This window comes from Homo sapiens, chromosome 13 (assembly GCF_000001405.40).
Source record: "Homo sapiens chromosome 13, GRCh38.p14 Primary Assembly".
In the NCBI taxonomy this organism is placed as follows: Eukaryota; Metazoa; Chordata; class Mammalia; order Primates; family Hominidae; genus Homo; species Homo sapiens.
In genome coordinates this window covers 20,073,799-20,089,452 of record NC_000013.11, presented here as the reverse complement: position 1 = coordinate 20,089,452, position 15,654 = coordinate 20,073,799, and the positions used below count along the sequence as shown (strand labels likewise).

The 15,654-nt window shown below is 35.6% G+C and overlaps 1 protein-coding gene across 32 annotated transcripts in view; it reads right to left on the bottom strand.

Moving 5' to 3' along the window:
• ZMYM2 (zinc finger MYM-type containing 2) overlaps positions 338–15,654 on the bottom strand; it is a 225,276-nt gene continuing 209,959 nt past the window's right edge. For 31 of the 32 annotated variants that reach the window (NR_148365.2, XM_047430584.1, XM_047430585.1 and 28 more), the window contains 4 exons: positions 7,323–7,437; positions 6,421–6,672; positions 5,677–5,797; positions 338–3,631 (listed from right to left, as the gene is read on the bottom strand). Coding sequence is in view for 31 of the 32 variants with exons in the window: in XM_047430584.1 (XP_047286540.1) it covers positions 3,439–3,631; positions 5,677–5,797; positions 6,421–6,672; positions 7,323–7,437 (681 nt within the window). In the remaining variant the exon portion in view is untranslated. Of the gene's footprint in view, positions 3,632–5,676; positions 5,798–6,420; positions 6,673–7,316; positions 7,438–15,654 lie in introns of those variants that run through there. The other variant, XM_047430599.1, reaches the window with a different exon arrangement.

Sequence of the window (15,654 nt, the reverse complement as noted above, 5' to 3'; positions counted from 1 at the left end):
AAATTCATGAACTTGTTTTAACTCAGTAACTAATTAGGACACCACTTGCCCAGATTTTTAGGGACCCTCTCTTTTCCACTTCATTACAAGGCAGGGGATCACAGTCACTTATTTGAGGTGTCCCTCTGACATCTAACTTCCGAGTAAAGAAAAAAAAGTACAAATTGGGACAGCACTGTAGGTTGTTTCTATTCTCAGAACTGATACAGATAACCTGTTCTGGACATCAACTTCTAAATTGATATAATCCTCAGAACACAGTAGAATGGAATAAATGAAATTCAAAATCTTCTCTAAACATGAGTAAGGGGCTTATTAAGGGGGAAATCCAAAAGTATGTAATTTAAAGAAATTTATTCTTTAAAAATATTTTCATGTACACTTTCATGACTATTTTGAGGGGAACAAGGAGATTATCCTACAGTCAATATTAGCTTAAAAACATAAGTGACATGTATAACAATACATTTTGGAAATAACTGGCATAATAAAAATGCAAATGTTTGTAGTGATTTAAGGCTGCAAGATATTTAAGATCTCAGATTAAATGAACCCACATTAGAGTAATGCAAACCAAAACTTGCAATTTTATGATTTCTTCATACTATAACCCTTAATACTATGCATAAAGAAGTTACCCCATTCCCAAGTCATAACTAGAAAGGACAAAGGGAAAGTCTGTCAGAAAAAACAGTGATAAATTTGAATGCATAGTACAATATGCATCCTCCTCCTACTTCAATGTTTAACATACTGACAACAACCCCATTTAATAAAAGAAAACCATGAGTTACTATTTAAGCAAAAATTATTTTTATGGAAAAAAAAAGTTGAGCTTCTTGCCTAGAAAAATCCTTTAATATCTATGTTACCTAATACAGTAAAGCCTTTTAAAATGTGTTAATGAAGATTCAATTTGCATGGGAAATCCACTTTCTTCAATGTGGATAAATATTTTTCACTGGATCATTTTAAATGGCAAAATCTTCAGAAAACAGAACAGAAAAATATAGCATCTTCAATAAACATTTCAAGACAATAAAGTTATATTTACAGGATGCTATCTATAATCAGAGATCACCTAGAAGCAAAAGGAAATTGCTATCATTTCATTGTCCTTTTCTCAGCAGTCAACTATGACCACATAAACTAAGATCCAAGAATCAATGAAATGTGTTCTAGGTGAAGTGAGTTTCACAGAACAAACAATTCTCATAAAATAAGTTTTTCTTTTCCCCCTGAGAATCAAGTTAATCTATCGTTGGATTGCAATCAAGACAAAGACAAGAGCTCTAAATCCTCAATCATGTCAAGATCAAAATTATGTAGACATTTCCACTTAGAAAAGCTAAAAATATACAAATGAAGAAACTGTAAATAGCAAGACAAGGTGCTTGATAGTAGTACTATGGCAGAAATTCATGGTATTTGGTAACATATACAATAAGTGACACCTGGGAAAAACTTTATTGCTCTTGATGGAATATAGCACCACTTTGAAGACTAAAAGATGGTTAGAATTAACCACCTTTTAATCAACAATAGGCATTAATAGGAAAAGTGCTTAAAGAAGTAGTTCTGGAAAAAGGTAAGTTAGAGAAAATTTTTGTATTATATATTTTAAATGTTACCCACTTGTCTTCGTTAAATAGACAATCAGCAATCTATTTTAGTAATGTATGATCAGATTTGCTACTATCAGTCTGATTATCACTCAACAATATAAAATCAAGGGACTGAAAAGTCATTCAACTTATAAAACAAGTTAGAACATTATAATTTTTTATGCCAAAACATTCAGATAATTATTGCTTAGATATACAATAATGACACCTGTGAAATTTTCCAAATCAGAATTGAGAAAATTTCTTTTGTGTGCTGTAACATTTATCCTATGGGAGAGAGGAGTATCTAAGGATGTGTAGCAATTGCTAGCCACTATGGAAAATAGCTCAATTTTCCCCTGAACAATTTCTAAACACTAATGCTACCATGGTCATTCAGGAATCAGAAGAAAACATGATTACACACATGCTAGAAAAGAGCCAAATGATTTCAAGATAATTTGCAGCTAGCACTTTGTTCAGTCTTTAGAAAGTAGATTTTAAGTTTCCTTATTCTAAAAGAAAAGGTCTGAATGGATAAATTGCTATGCAGAAGCACAAAGTTGTTTTTTTTTTTAATGCAATCTTCTATAAGAAGTAATTTCAAAAGCCAAACAATCTAACATTAAATGGGATTTCCTCTGAGACTGACTTTCTCTATTAGTTTCTTTGTTTGTTCCTCAATCATTTGCAATATCAGAATTACTACACTGGTAATCTTCATTATAAAATGTGATCCTATCTTATTTAACATAGCTTGACTTTCTGTAACTATTTCAGGAGTGGAATTTCTAAAAACAATTTTATCCAATGTAAACAGGCACAAGAATTCTGATAAAATTGCTAAGTTTTAGAGTACTACACAGCTAACATTGCAGCATGATCTGTATCCTTAAGAGGGAAAAAAAGAAATAAAAATCAAACCTCTATAAATGAAGAGGATTTCAGATACTTATGGCTGGCATAGAAGAAAACAGAATTTTATACTTTCACCAGACATTTTTACAAAGGAAATGTCTTGATGATCTTGTTTTCAACTTACAATCATTTATATATATATATATATATATATATATACACACACACATACATACATATATATACATATATATATTTGTTTTTTATTGATTGGGTGATGCAGAAAGCCACAAATGAGAAAAGGACACTAAGGTTTTAATAAGGGGAACAAAAAATTGTTTTCACCAGCATAGATTCACATTACAGTACACCAATATTGACAGCATTCTCTTGTCTATTTTTGGTACAGAAGATGGTATCTCTCTACATAACCTTGTAAGGCTTCAGTAACTAAAATGTAAAACCAAACAAAACAAAACCCCAAAACAAAACAAAAACCCCAGCCTATTAGTTTACAGTTTATTTTAAAAATTCCGAAAGACACTGCAAGTTCTAAACTTTTAGTAGTGCTACCCATACACAACCATCTGGTTAAGAACCCAGTAAAAGAGCCCCCTTCCAAGGAAGCTTTGCAACAGTAGAGTTGTGCAATATGGATGTTTCTTACTACAAGAAAAAAATTATACATGGCACATTCTCATTCATATTCTGTAATGTAAAAAGTTACAAACATACCTAATCAAATAAATAATAATAAAAAAAGAATTTGAATGTATTTGTTAAGTATCCTAAAACCACTACATAGAATAATGGCAACTTTCACTCACAGATTATTTACATGGTAATACCCAGCGTGGGTACACTGCTACAAAACTCAAAACAGAAGGAGTAAACTTGAAATGTTTTCCATAATAAAGATCTAGCAGCATGACTATCTAATGCTGTTTTATCCCGATTGCTTCTGCAACGTTCCTTTTTAGTCTGTGTCTTCATCCAGTTCATAATTGTCTTTATCATAAATATCTTTTACTAGAAGAACCCGTACAAGCATATTTTCCAAGGTGTTTCGGTCCAGTGAAGTAGACGTATACCAGACAGGGCTATCTGTAGAACTAGAGCATTCTGGTTGCAAATAAAAAACATCCATCCTCTGATTAAGATTCTGTGGACTTTGGAGGCGGGAGGAAAAAGAGAAAAAGTCAATTTCACAAAATTTCCACAACTTTTTCTTTTTTCAAGAATAATTCAGACCCCATTAATCACGTTATATGACCAGACCCCCTATGCCCCACTGTCTCCATTATTCTGTCATTAAAATATTCTCAAAGTTATTTTCTGAGATAGAGATTATTTCCCACAATTTTAATTCTACTTCACTAAATCCAAGACACTATCAATAGACACACCACTCATTATTTTAATGCTACCATTAAGCAAGTGAAACACTGCCAATTATGATTTCAAGATGCAACAATTTAAACTGTGCATCCCAGTTTCAGAAATAGTGAAATGTGAAAATGTCTTAGAATTGATGAAATATGTATGGCAGCACATAAAATTAAAAAATTCTTACAGCACTACATAATAGAAACTCAATTTTTAAAATACCAACAAGGTAATAGTGAGATAGGAATTTCCTACTAACAAATAGTTACTACCAACTGAAGACCCTGACACTACTGCAGCCAAATAGGACCACCCTAAACCATGGTGAGAAATACAGGCTGAGCATCCCTAATTCAAAAATCCAAAATCTGAAACTCTTTGCCAAAATGACACCAAAAGTGGAAAGTTCCACACCTGACCTCATGTGAGGAGTTCGCGCCCAAAACACAGGCACATAACACACAGGTTATTCAGCAACCCCAAGGGGAAAATAAAATCACCTTCAGGCTATGCATAAATAAAATTATCTTCAGGCTACATGTATAAGGTGTATATGAAATATAAATGAATTTCATGTTTAGAGTTGGGTCCCAGCCCTAAGACATCTTATAATGTATATGCAAATATTCCAAAATCCGAAAAAATCTGAAATCTAAAACACTTCTGGTCAGAAGCATTTTGGATAAGGCGCATTCAACTTGTACTAATATCATCCTATACATGATACTATTGTTTTTACAAGTCCTTGAGGGCCATCCTGGGGACCTGTGATTTATAAATTTGTTTAAACAGGGAAGTACATTTTGAATTCATGCTGACCTTCTGAAAATTAGAGAGTGCTTACTTAAAACAACAGGCAAGCATAAAATAATCTATGGTCTCTAAACGTTTTATTGGCTTAAACTTTTTAAAATGCCTGTTGGTCTGAGATTGAGGGGAAAAAAAATTCCAGAACATGATTCCATTTTTCATACCTGCTTGACTGTTTTCTCTTAAATGTAAATACTTCACTTACATTTCCACCTATCTATACTACCTTTGAGCATACCTTTACACCGGGCATTGGCAAACTACAGCCAGCCACCTGCTTATGTGAAGTTTTATTATAACACAGCCACATGCCATGAATTTATATATAGTATATGGCTGCTTTCTAGTCACAAGAGAACCGATTAGTTACAATAGTGATTCCATAGGCCCAAAAGCCTAAAATATTTACCATCTGACCGTTTAAGAAAAAGTTTGTGTCCCTTGCTTTGCTGTCATTGGAATTGCTGTAATTTAAAAGACAATGACAGGCGCAATGGCTCATGCCTGTAATTCCAGCACTTTGGGAGGCTGAGGCACGAGGATGGCTTGAGGTCAGGAGTTCAAGACCAGCCTGGGCAACACAGTGAGATCCTGTCTCTACAAAAAATACAAAAATTAGCCAGCTATGGAGGCACATGCCTGCAGTCCCAGCAACTCAGGAGGCAGAGGGTGGGAGGATGGCTTAAGCCCAGGAGTTTGAGGTTGCAATGAGCTATGATCACGTGCCACTGTACTCCAGCCTCGGTGAGAGAGCAAGACCCCATCTCCAAAAGAAAATGACAGCAGTAGAAATTTCATTAGTAGAGAGAGATTTCTTAACACATGCTTAAACTCTAAGTATGATGTATAAACTGGGTATTTCAAAATAAAAGATTATAACTGAATGAACTTGGGTATAACTGAGAGAGAAGAAATCTGAGAAAGAATCCATCTAAAAAAGTCACTTCTTGGTAATGTTAAATTTAAACCAGCCAACTTCTACCAACATTTTTAAAAGTTAAGTATCATTAACACTCACCTTTTAGACAAGTAGCATTCAAACATTTTCACAGGACATCTGGAAGGATTGGCTGTGTTTTCAATTTGTTCAAATACTGGCTCATCATCTTCATGTTTTCTTTTTCCAGTAGTAATTTTATCTTAAAAAATAAAAGTGAAATAAACCTCCTAAACTAATCTTGAAGAAAGATATAAACATCACTCCTAGTGTCTGTTATACCAAAGAATAGGACCAGGTGCCCCTTGGAGTTTTAAGTTATGGCTTCTGGTAATGTACAATTTTTCAAACAAAAGGAACTGAGACATCTTAAGACATAGGTTGTCTTATTTTATAAAACTGACAGTCCTTAGGTTCTTAACAAGTGACCCAGGTGGTCTTTAGTAAGGCAAGGTTTGGATATCCCTACCATAGACAATCCCAAAATAGAAATCTGGGCCATGCGTGGTGGCTCACGCCTGTAATCCCAGCACTTTGGGAGGCTGAGGTGGGCAGATCACCTGAGGTCGGGAGTTCGAGACCAGCCTCACCAACATGGAGAAACCCTGTCTCTACTAAAAATACAAAGTTAGCCAGGCATGGTGGCGCCTGCCTGTAATCCCAGCCACTCAGGAGGCTGAGGGAGGAGAATTGCTTGAACCCAGGAGGTAGAGGTTGCGGTGAGCCGAGACTGCACCACTGCACTCCAGCCTGGGCAACAAGAGTGAAACTCTGTCTCAAAAAAAATTTAAAAATAAAAATAAAAATAGAAATCTGTTACACTACCTTCATTATCTGTTCCACACAAGGAAGACACTTGGTATCGAAGACACGCTTTGTTTTCCATCGTTAAAGGATTTTTTTTCCAATGCCTAAACACAGTGCCAAAGGAAAGTCTTAAGTGTTGTTCCACTGTTTTCAGGCCAAAATACTTAGTGTTAAAGTAGAACAGTGTATTCAGAAGAGCTACTGGAGAGTGTGATCCTAGTTGTTTTATCCTCCAGAGATAGTCTTCTTCAACTCGAGAGAATATTGACCCTTAAATAGAGAGAACTATTTTAAAAGAATTATAATAAATAAAAGTTTTCATTTAACCATCTAGAAGCAGACACAGTTAATTTAAGGACAAATCTATACCAATTCTCCTTTCATATTAGATCAACTAGAATAATTCTAGAATTACCTATGCAGCTCTTTAACAATACAGAGGCTACTATGGAACTATTATCTATGGAATAAGGGACTGGATGTTTGCTTCTGTTCTTCAGTAGGACAAGCAAACAGTGGTCAGAAAACAGTGTAAATCCTTTTAAAATTAAAATTCAGGAATTTAAATTCCTGAAAAAAATTGATGACTCCACATACATACACATTTTCTTCACGGACTGAAAACAGTGGTTTAAGAGAAATTTACATCAGAAGCTCCACTGGAAGGCTTAAGACATGAACATCCAGTCTCGTACTCCAGAGAAAGTAGATTACATTTCTTACAAAGTTCTTCATAAACACTAGTTATTGACCACATTTGTTTCTAATTCAACAAGAGATGAAAGGCAGATGAGCTCGAGTAAGTGTTCAGAAAATGTTATCTAATTTAAGTGACTTAATTATAATATTTTCAAACATACTCTGTAAAAATAACAATCCTAATATCAAGAGAGCAACACCTTTAGTGAAAATAGCATTACCATCTGGAAGTATGCTTGGTTGCCAGCTTCGCAGTATTTTATTCAATTCTTGCTCAAATGTTTGGTATCCAGGATCAATAAATATGTTGTCTTTTCGATTACTTCCACACAAATACTATAAAAAAAAAAAAAGCCCCACAAACTTTCTTGAAAGAAAATCAGCTAATTATAGTAAACATATTACACTCCGTATTTCTTAAGAAAAAAATAAAGCTTTATGTCTTTGAAATGCATACTAAAACATGACTGATTTTATGTATGCACCTAGAAATTATAAAGAATCATAAATTATCAACAAATCTGTTGCTTGAAACACTCAAAGCTGAAATACACACCCCAGAATCAAGAATGTAAAAACTGGATGACAATCTTCAGTCTGTCAGACAGAAAAAAAAAAGAATATTTGACTCCCGTGTTTATTATATAGTGCATGAAGAAAAATGTAAATTTTAAAATAAAAGTGTTTTTTTCTTTTTAGTTTTTTTTCTTATAAAGTAAGAGTTATAATTAAGGTAATGACTAAAGAAAAACACTGAGTGGTAAGAATGAGAGGAAATGTTATCTGTAGCTATTGAAAGCTCTCTTCTAGCACTCTGACTTTGTCAGGCTAACGCTTTTTTCTTATTGTCTCTATATTCCTAATTCTCCACCTGTAAAACAGTGCAAATTTATGAATCTTGTAACTTACTGTCACAAACCTAGAAAAATCTTAACAGTGAGGGTGGTTACAGAATCATTTAAAGTATAAACATTAGTGGGGCTTAAAGAGAAAATAACATAAAATTATATGATAACAGCACAAAGAATGGAAGGCAAGAATTGGGAGTACACTGTTCTAAGGCTCTTAAACTACATGTGAAGTAATATAATATTATTTGAATGCAGACATGTTAATTAAAGATGCAGATTGTAAACCTAAGGTAACAAGTAAAACTTAAGAGGTACAAATAATAAACCAATAGTGGAAATAAAGTGGAATCACAAAACATATTAATTCAAAGGAAGGCAGAAAAAGATGGAAAAACAAAGAACAGATAGAATACAAAACAACCAGAAGGATAACAGATTTTAATTCAATGACAGCAGTGATCATATTACACTAAGCCAAGGTTAGGAAACTAGAGTCCTGGAGCCATATCTGGCCCATGCCTATTTTTATAAAGTGTTCTTGGAATACAGACATACTGGTTCATTTGCATACTGTACAGCAGCTTTCATGTTACAGCATAGTTGAATGTCTGCATGACATACAAGCATGACCTGTAACCATGTACCATTTGGTCCTTTATTTAAAAAGTCTGTTGGTCCCTGGTCTAAACAGCAATTAAAAGACAGATACTGGGGTGGGAGTGGTGGCTCACACCTATAATCTCAGCACTTTGGGAGGCCAAGCCAAGCAGACAGCTTGAGCTCAGGAGTTCAAGACCAGCCTGGGCAAGATGGTGAAACCCCGTCTCTACAAAAAATACAAAAATTAGCCAGGCGTGGTGGCATGTGCCTGTAGCTCCAGCGACTTGACGGGCTGAGGCAGGAGAATCACTTGAGCCTGGGAGGTCAAAGCTGCAGTGAGCCATGAGATCACACCACTGCACTCTAGCCTGGGACAGACCGAGGCCCAGTCTCAAGGAAAAAAAAAAAAGAGACAGATATTGTCGGATTCAATTTTTTTAAAGGCAAGGTTCGACAATATGCTGTCTACAAAAAGCCTATTTTAAATAAAAGAACAGATAAGTGAAAAGTAAAAGAAAAAATGTACACCATGTATACACTAATCAAAACATAAGAATGCCATCATCTGAGTTGATCCAATGTTATTCAAACTAGTCAAAGGAATATTAGTCAGCAAAATTCTAAAATAGTAGAACAAAAACTCCTAATTAATGTCTTTCAAATACAATGATAGACCAACTGATAAAAGCCTGGCAAATCAAGAAAGTGACAATGCTAGGTTTCTCCCCTGCTTTTGGGTTAGTTAAAGGGTTGATGCTCTAAAAATAGCATTTCCTAAACTACCTGGAGATCCTCATTGTTATGAATGAGAACAGCAGTGATTGCTTAAAATATAACATCATGATTCCAGCTATTTAACGGGACTATAAACTTTTGCATTGTTTCTGGATTTCTAAATATACAAACTTAGTTGGGTATTACATAAAACAATCACTAAAGTAAAATCCCCAAGTTTAGAATAGCAATTTATATTTTTTGCTTTTATCATAAAGCAACATGTGTAATAAAAAATGAGGGAAATGATTCTGAAATAATTATTTTCATCTGTAAATCTAGTACAAAGAGAAAATTTCTATGTAACATTTAGAACCTTAGCAATAATAAACCAAAAACTAAGTTCCCAACTCAGCTCTACTAAAAGCAGTTCCTAAATGAAGTGCGAACACTTAATCCTCCTGAAAAGGTTTCTCTAGGCAATCCATGATAAATGATCTGCTGTTCTTGTTACAGAATGAATTACAAAATGTTTTATTACTTATTGTGGTAGTATGGGAAGCAATGCCATATTATTGTTGCTGTTATTTTCCACCATAGGCAGTCACAACTTACAAACATCTAATCTATACACATATGGCTCCCTTAGCACCAAAGCCCTTGCAACCAATGAGAATCTACAGAAGAAATCCTGTGTGTGGTTTCAGGAACAGAGGCAAAGGAGAAGCTGCGAAGAAGAGCAGCAACTTATAGATAGAATAGGCCTGTCTGAAGAGTAGATTTCTTAAAAAAAAATCATCACAGAAAGTCTTCAATTATGGGATTTGAATTCATTAAGTATCCTTTTTTTTTTTTTTTTTTTTTTTTTTTGAGACAGAGTCTTACTCTGTTGCCAGGCTGGAATGCAGTGGCGCAATCCCGGCTCATGCAACCTCTGCCTCCAGGGTTCAAGCGATTCTCCTGCCTCAGCCTCCCGAGTAGCTGAGATTACAGGCACGTGCCACCACACCCGGCTAATTTTTGTATTTTTAGTAGAGACGGGGTTTCACTATGTTGGCCAGGATGGTCTCCATCTCTTGACGTTGTGATCTGCCTGCCTCAGCCTCCCAAAGTGCTGGGATTACAGGCATGAGACACCGCGCCCAGCCAATAAAAGTATCTTTTTTTTTTTTAAATATAAATTCCTTTTTTAAGAGTTACTGGTCTCTCATTTCACTTAGATTTCTTTGGGACTATACATGAGAAAACTAGAGTTCCCTAAATAATTTTGGAACATCTGTAAAGAGCAGTACTGAATGATAAAAATGTAACATGTTATACATTTAACTTTATTCTAGTAGCCACATTTTAAAAGTTAAAAAGTATAATATTTTACTTAACCCAATATATCCAAAACATGTAATCCCAACATATAATATAAAAATATTTAACATTTTAAAAATACCAATTCTTTGAAATCTTGTATATATTTTATACTCAGAACACTTCTCATTTCAGACTACCCACATTTCAAAGGCCCTGTTTCTTATGGATAAAAAATGCTTTGTAGGGCAAAGCAGCACGTTGACAGATATCTACTTAAACAGAAATTATGGTACTAGTACTTGAGAAGCAAAATGAAAATCTCATAAAACACAGCTAACAGAGAGTTGAAAAGCATGTATTTTAGATATGTTCAGACTATTGGCATGTTTGTTCAGACAAGTATTGTCACTAATATGACAAACATATGGTCAAATGTTTCGGAGAGCTAGCTAAAGCAAGAAACACTGTGTGCAAACAATATACATAACAATTTATAAAATTAAATATTGGGAATATAAGACATTCATAATTTGAGGGCTATTAGATAGATTCTACTTCTAAGTCTCTCAAATCAGTTGTTTTATTAAACGTTATATGAATAAAGCTTCATTAATAATAATATAAAATAATCCACCATTAATTTAAGCTATCAATCAGTAGTTCTGCACAATAATTTGTGTTTCAATGAAAATATTCCAGCTTTCAGATGCTACGCCCAAGAAAAAAAAAATTTCAAGTATCATCTTTAAAAATACTTAAAACTGGCCAGGTGCAGTGGGGCTCACGTCTGTAATCCCAGCACTGTGGGAGGCCGAGGCGGGTGGATCATGAGGTCAGGAGATCGAGACCATCCTGGCTAACACAGTGAAACCCCGTCTCTACTAAAAATACAAAAAATTAGCCGGGCGTGGTGGCGGGCGCCTGTAGTCCCAGCTATTCGGGAGGCTGAGGCAGGAGAATGGCGTGAACCCAGATCACACCACTGCACTCCAGCCTGGGTGACAGAGCAAGACTCCCTCTCAAAAAAAAAAAAAGAAAAAAACTTAAAACCTTTTCATGTTTCTCCCTGGATAAAGATGAAATCTAAACATTTTATCAAGGAATAGAGGCCTTTGTGGTATGACTCTTACTTACCGCAGCCCTCAGCCTCAATACCCCAAAGCTTTCTCCACTTCACATTATACATTCCAGCCAGGCTAAGTAGTTCCTGGTAAACTGTGCCCTTGTACTGCCATTGTCCCTCTCTCATCCCTTTGCTGAATAAATTTCTATATGTACTTCAAAACTCAATTTAAAATTTAAAACTCAATGTCATCTAAATTCCTATACTTTTTCATTGTATATACTTAGGTAGAATTAATTAGTCCCAATTCTGTGTTACCAAGTCTGTATACAACACGAGCATAACATTATTTAAATATTATTTGTCTGTGTATTTCAACTCTTTCAGTGGAACATATTGTAATGGCTTTTAATTCAAACTGCTCACCAGATTCAAAATTTATGAGCTGTGTAACTTGGGCAAGTAACTTTACTTCCTCATAAAAAAATGCTGATAATTATAGTAAAGTTGTTGAGAGGACTGAATGACACATCAAGCACGTAGCATAGTATGTGGAAAGCAGTAAACAGTCAGTAAATGTAAGTTGTCAACATGCTTATCTCAGTCTCCAAAGCCTACTCCAATGTCCAGTATCCAGCATACAACAGCACTTAATGTTTGCTAAATTAACCAATGAAAGAAGGTTTCAAATAGCCTGAATCAACCTCATCACTGCTATTAAAAAATAAAGAGGCCAGGCGTGGTGGCTCACGCCTGTAATCAAGAGAACGAGACAAACCTGGCCAACACGGTGAAACCCTGTCTCTACTAAAAACACAAAAATTAGCTGGGCATGGTGGCCTGTAGTCCCAGGTACTCGGGAGGCTGAGGCAGGAGAATCACTTGAACCTGGGAGGCGGAGATGCGGTGTGCCGAGATCGCACCACTGCACTCCAGCCTGGGTGACAGAGTGAAACTCCGTCTCAAAAAAAATAAAATAAAATAAAAAATAAATCTTAAATTCCTCTGAATAAGGATTAAATAAGCTTAGAAATCCTCTATGTATTTTAATAGAATTTAATTATTTGAAAACTACCCATTTACATACAAATTAAATTAACAAGCCACACTGTGAGTTTACTATATTTTTTAATTTAGTAAATAAAGTTCTTTCTTCTTAAAAAACACATCCCTCCATATAAAAGACTTAACATGTAGAAAGTAAAAAATAAAAATTCTGGAGAAAAATTTGGAAAAATGACAAAGACTTACTGTCTATAATAAACAAGAAACTCACAAACTAAAAAAGATAAACGATGGGGCAATTCACAGAAAAGCAAATGGTCAATAAACACAAAAAGATCCTCAAACATTTTGGGAAAGAAATCTGTTAATATCTTTAAAAATAAAAAATATACTTTTCTTGAGATCCAATAATACCCCTTCTGGAATCATATCTCAGAAACAAATGCATCAGTTCTTTAGGATAATTATAGAAGATTTGTGTGGGGCAGGAGGGGAGCAGAGGAGGAAGGAAAGTATACACTGTCTATAACAGCAAAATTTCATAAAACAAAGAGAATGCTCATCATTGTGGAAATTACTAAATTAATTGTGATATAGCACACAATGAGATACATACATAGTTAGGCCTGTTCCTGCTGACTTAGAGGGACTGCCACAATTTACTGGGAAGTAGATGAAGAGAAAGTAAGATGTAGAAGTATATAATATGGTCTAGTGTTCCTAGCTGACAAAACTATCTCTTTCATCACATTCATGAAAAACAGAAATATACACATCTAGCTAACAGTGATAAGGTGGGGAGATTAAAGAAAAAAAAGTGGCTGGCATGGTGGCTCATGCCTGTAATCCTAGAACTTTGGGAGGCTGAGGTGGGGGGATCACCTGAGATCAGGCGTTTGAGACCAGCCTGGCCAACATGGCGAAACCTCGTCTCTACGGGATGGGGGGGAAAAAAAACCCAACTAGCCAGGAATGGTGGCTCATTCCTGTAATCCCAGCTACTTGGGAGGAGGCTGAGGCAGAAGAATTGCTTAAACCCAGGAAGCGGAGATTGCATTAAGCCGAGATGGCGCCACTGCACTCCAGCCTGGGCGATAGAGACTCTGTCTCCAAAAAAAAAAAAAAAAAAAAAAAAAAAAAAAAGGTGTCTATAGTTCTATTCATAATAAATTTAGTATGACGGATATGTGTTCACATATGTAAAACAGTGTATGAAAGAATGATCATGAAATGTTAATGATGGTTATCGTAGGATTTCCTATCATTTTCCTTCTTCCTCAAACATTTTCATATTATGTGAACATTTAACAATAACCACCGTTCCTTATACAAAATCAGTGGAGGAAAGTCAGTTACTTTGAGAAAGAGTAAGAAAAACAAACAAACAAACAAAACAAGAAAAAATAAGGCCGAGCTCCCCTTTCATACAGTACCAGCTATTTACAATTATGTTTAATTTTTCAATGTACAAAACAGAAGTGACTACTTACTTCAGTATACATTCATAAGACTTAGTCCTTACAAAAAAAGATACTGTTTCTTCCATAGACATACGGAAGAAAATCATACTTCCTGTCAACTGTATCTTTATTGTCAGCTGTGAGCAAAACTAATGAATCCAACAGACAGAAAAATATGCACACTTTTCCAAAAATAGCTTCTATTTCTGTACACATCTTGAACTAATATTAAACAGCACTGATTTCTGGAAAGTTTACTTTAGTTATCTTATCTTTACACTGAGTTTCAGGATTACTTTTAAAGCTGCTTATAAATACCACAGTCTTTGAAAACAAGTCTGTGAAAATGTATCCAATAATAAAAATAGATATTCCACAATTTTTAAAAATTTTGGTAAACTGTAGAACAAAAAAATTACCATCTTAACCATTTTTAAATGTGCAGTTTAGTAGTAAAACAACTTTTTGATAAAGCATTCATCAATACATAAGGAACCTATTTTAAAAAGGAAGGAAGGCCGGGCGCAGTGGCTCACACCTGTAATCCCAACACTTTGGGAGGCCAAGGCAGGCGGATCACGAGGTCAGGAGATCGAGACCGTCCCGGCTAACACGGTGAAACCTCGTCTCTACTAAAAATACAAAAAATTAGCCGGGCGTGGTTGCAGGCGCCTGTAGTGCCAGCTACTCGGGAGGCTGAGGCAGGAGAATGGCGTGAACCCAGGAGGCGGAGCTTGCAGTGAGCTGAGATCGCGCCACTGCACTCCAGCCTGGGCGACAGAGTAAGACTCCGTCTCAAAAAAAAAAAAAGGAAGGAAGCCGGGCACAGTGGCTCATGCCTGTTAATTCCAGCACTTTGGGAGGCTGAGGAAGGTGGATTGCTTGGGCCCAGGAGTTCGAGACCAGACTGGTCAACATGGCGAAACCCCATCTCTACAAAAAATAGAGAAGTTAGTTAGCCAGGTATGGTGGTACGTGCCCACATTCCCAGCCACCTAAAGGGCTGAGGCAGGAGGATCACTTGAGCCTGGGAGGTTGAGGGTATACTAAGCAAAGTTCATGCCACTGGACTCCAGCCTGGGCGCCAGAGTGAGACCCTGTCTCTCTGTCTCTCTCACACACACACACACACACACACACACACACACACACACACAAATTCTGACATATGCTACACAACACAGATGAACCTTGAGTATATTATGCTACATGAAATAAGCCAGACTAAAAAGGACAAATACTGCATGATTCCACTTATATGAGGTGCCTATGGTAGTCAAAATCATAGAGATAGAAAGTAGAAAAGTGGCTTACAGGGCTCAGTAGAGAAGGAAATGGAGAGTTATTATTTAATGAGTACAGAGTTTCAGTTCTGCAAGATGAAAAGAGTTCTAGAGATAGATGGTGATGCTGGTTGCACAACAATGTGAATGTACTTAATGCCACTGCACCGCACCCTTAAAAATGCTTAAAACCGTAAATTTTATGTTATGTATATTTTACTACAACAAAAACTGAGAGAAAAAAAAACTATTTAAGACATACTTCATAATTT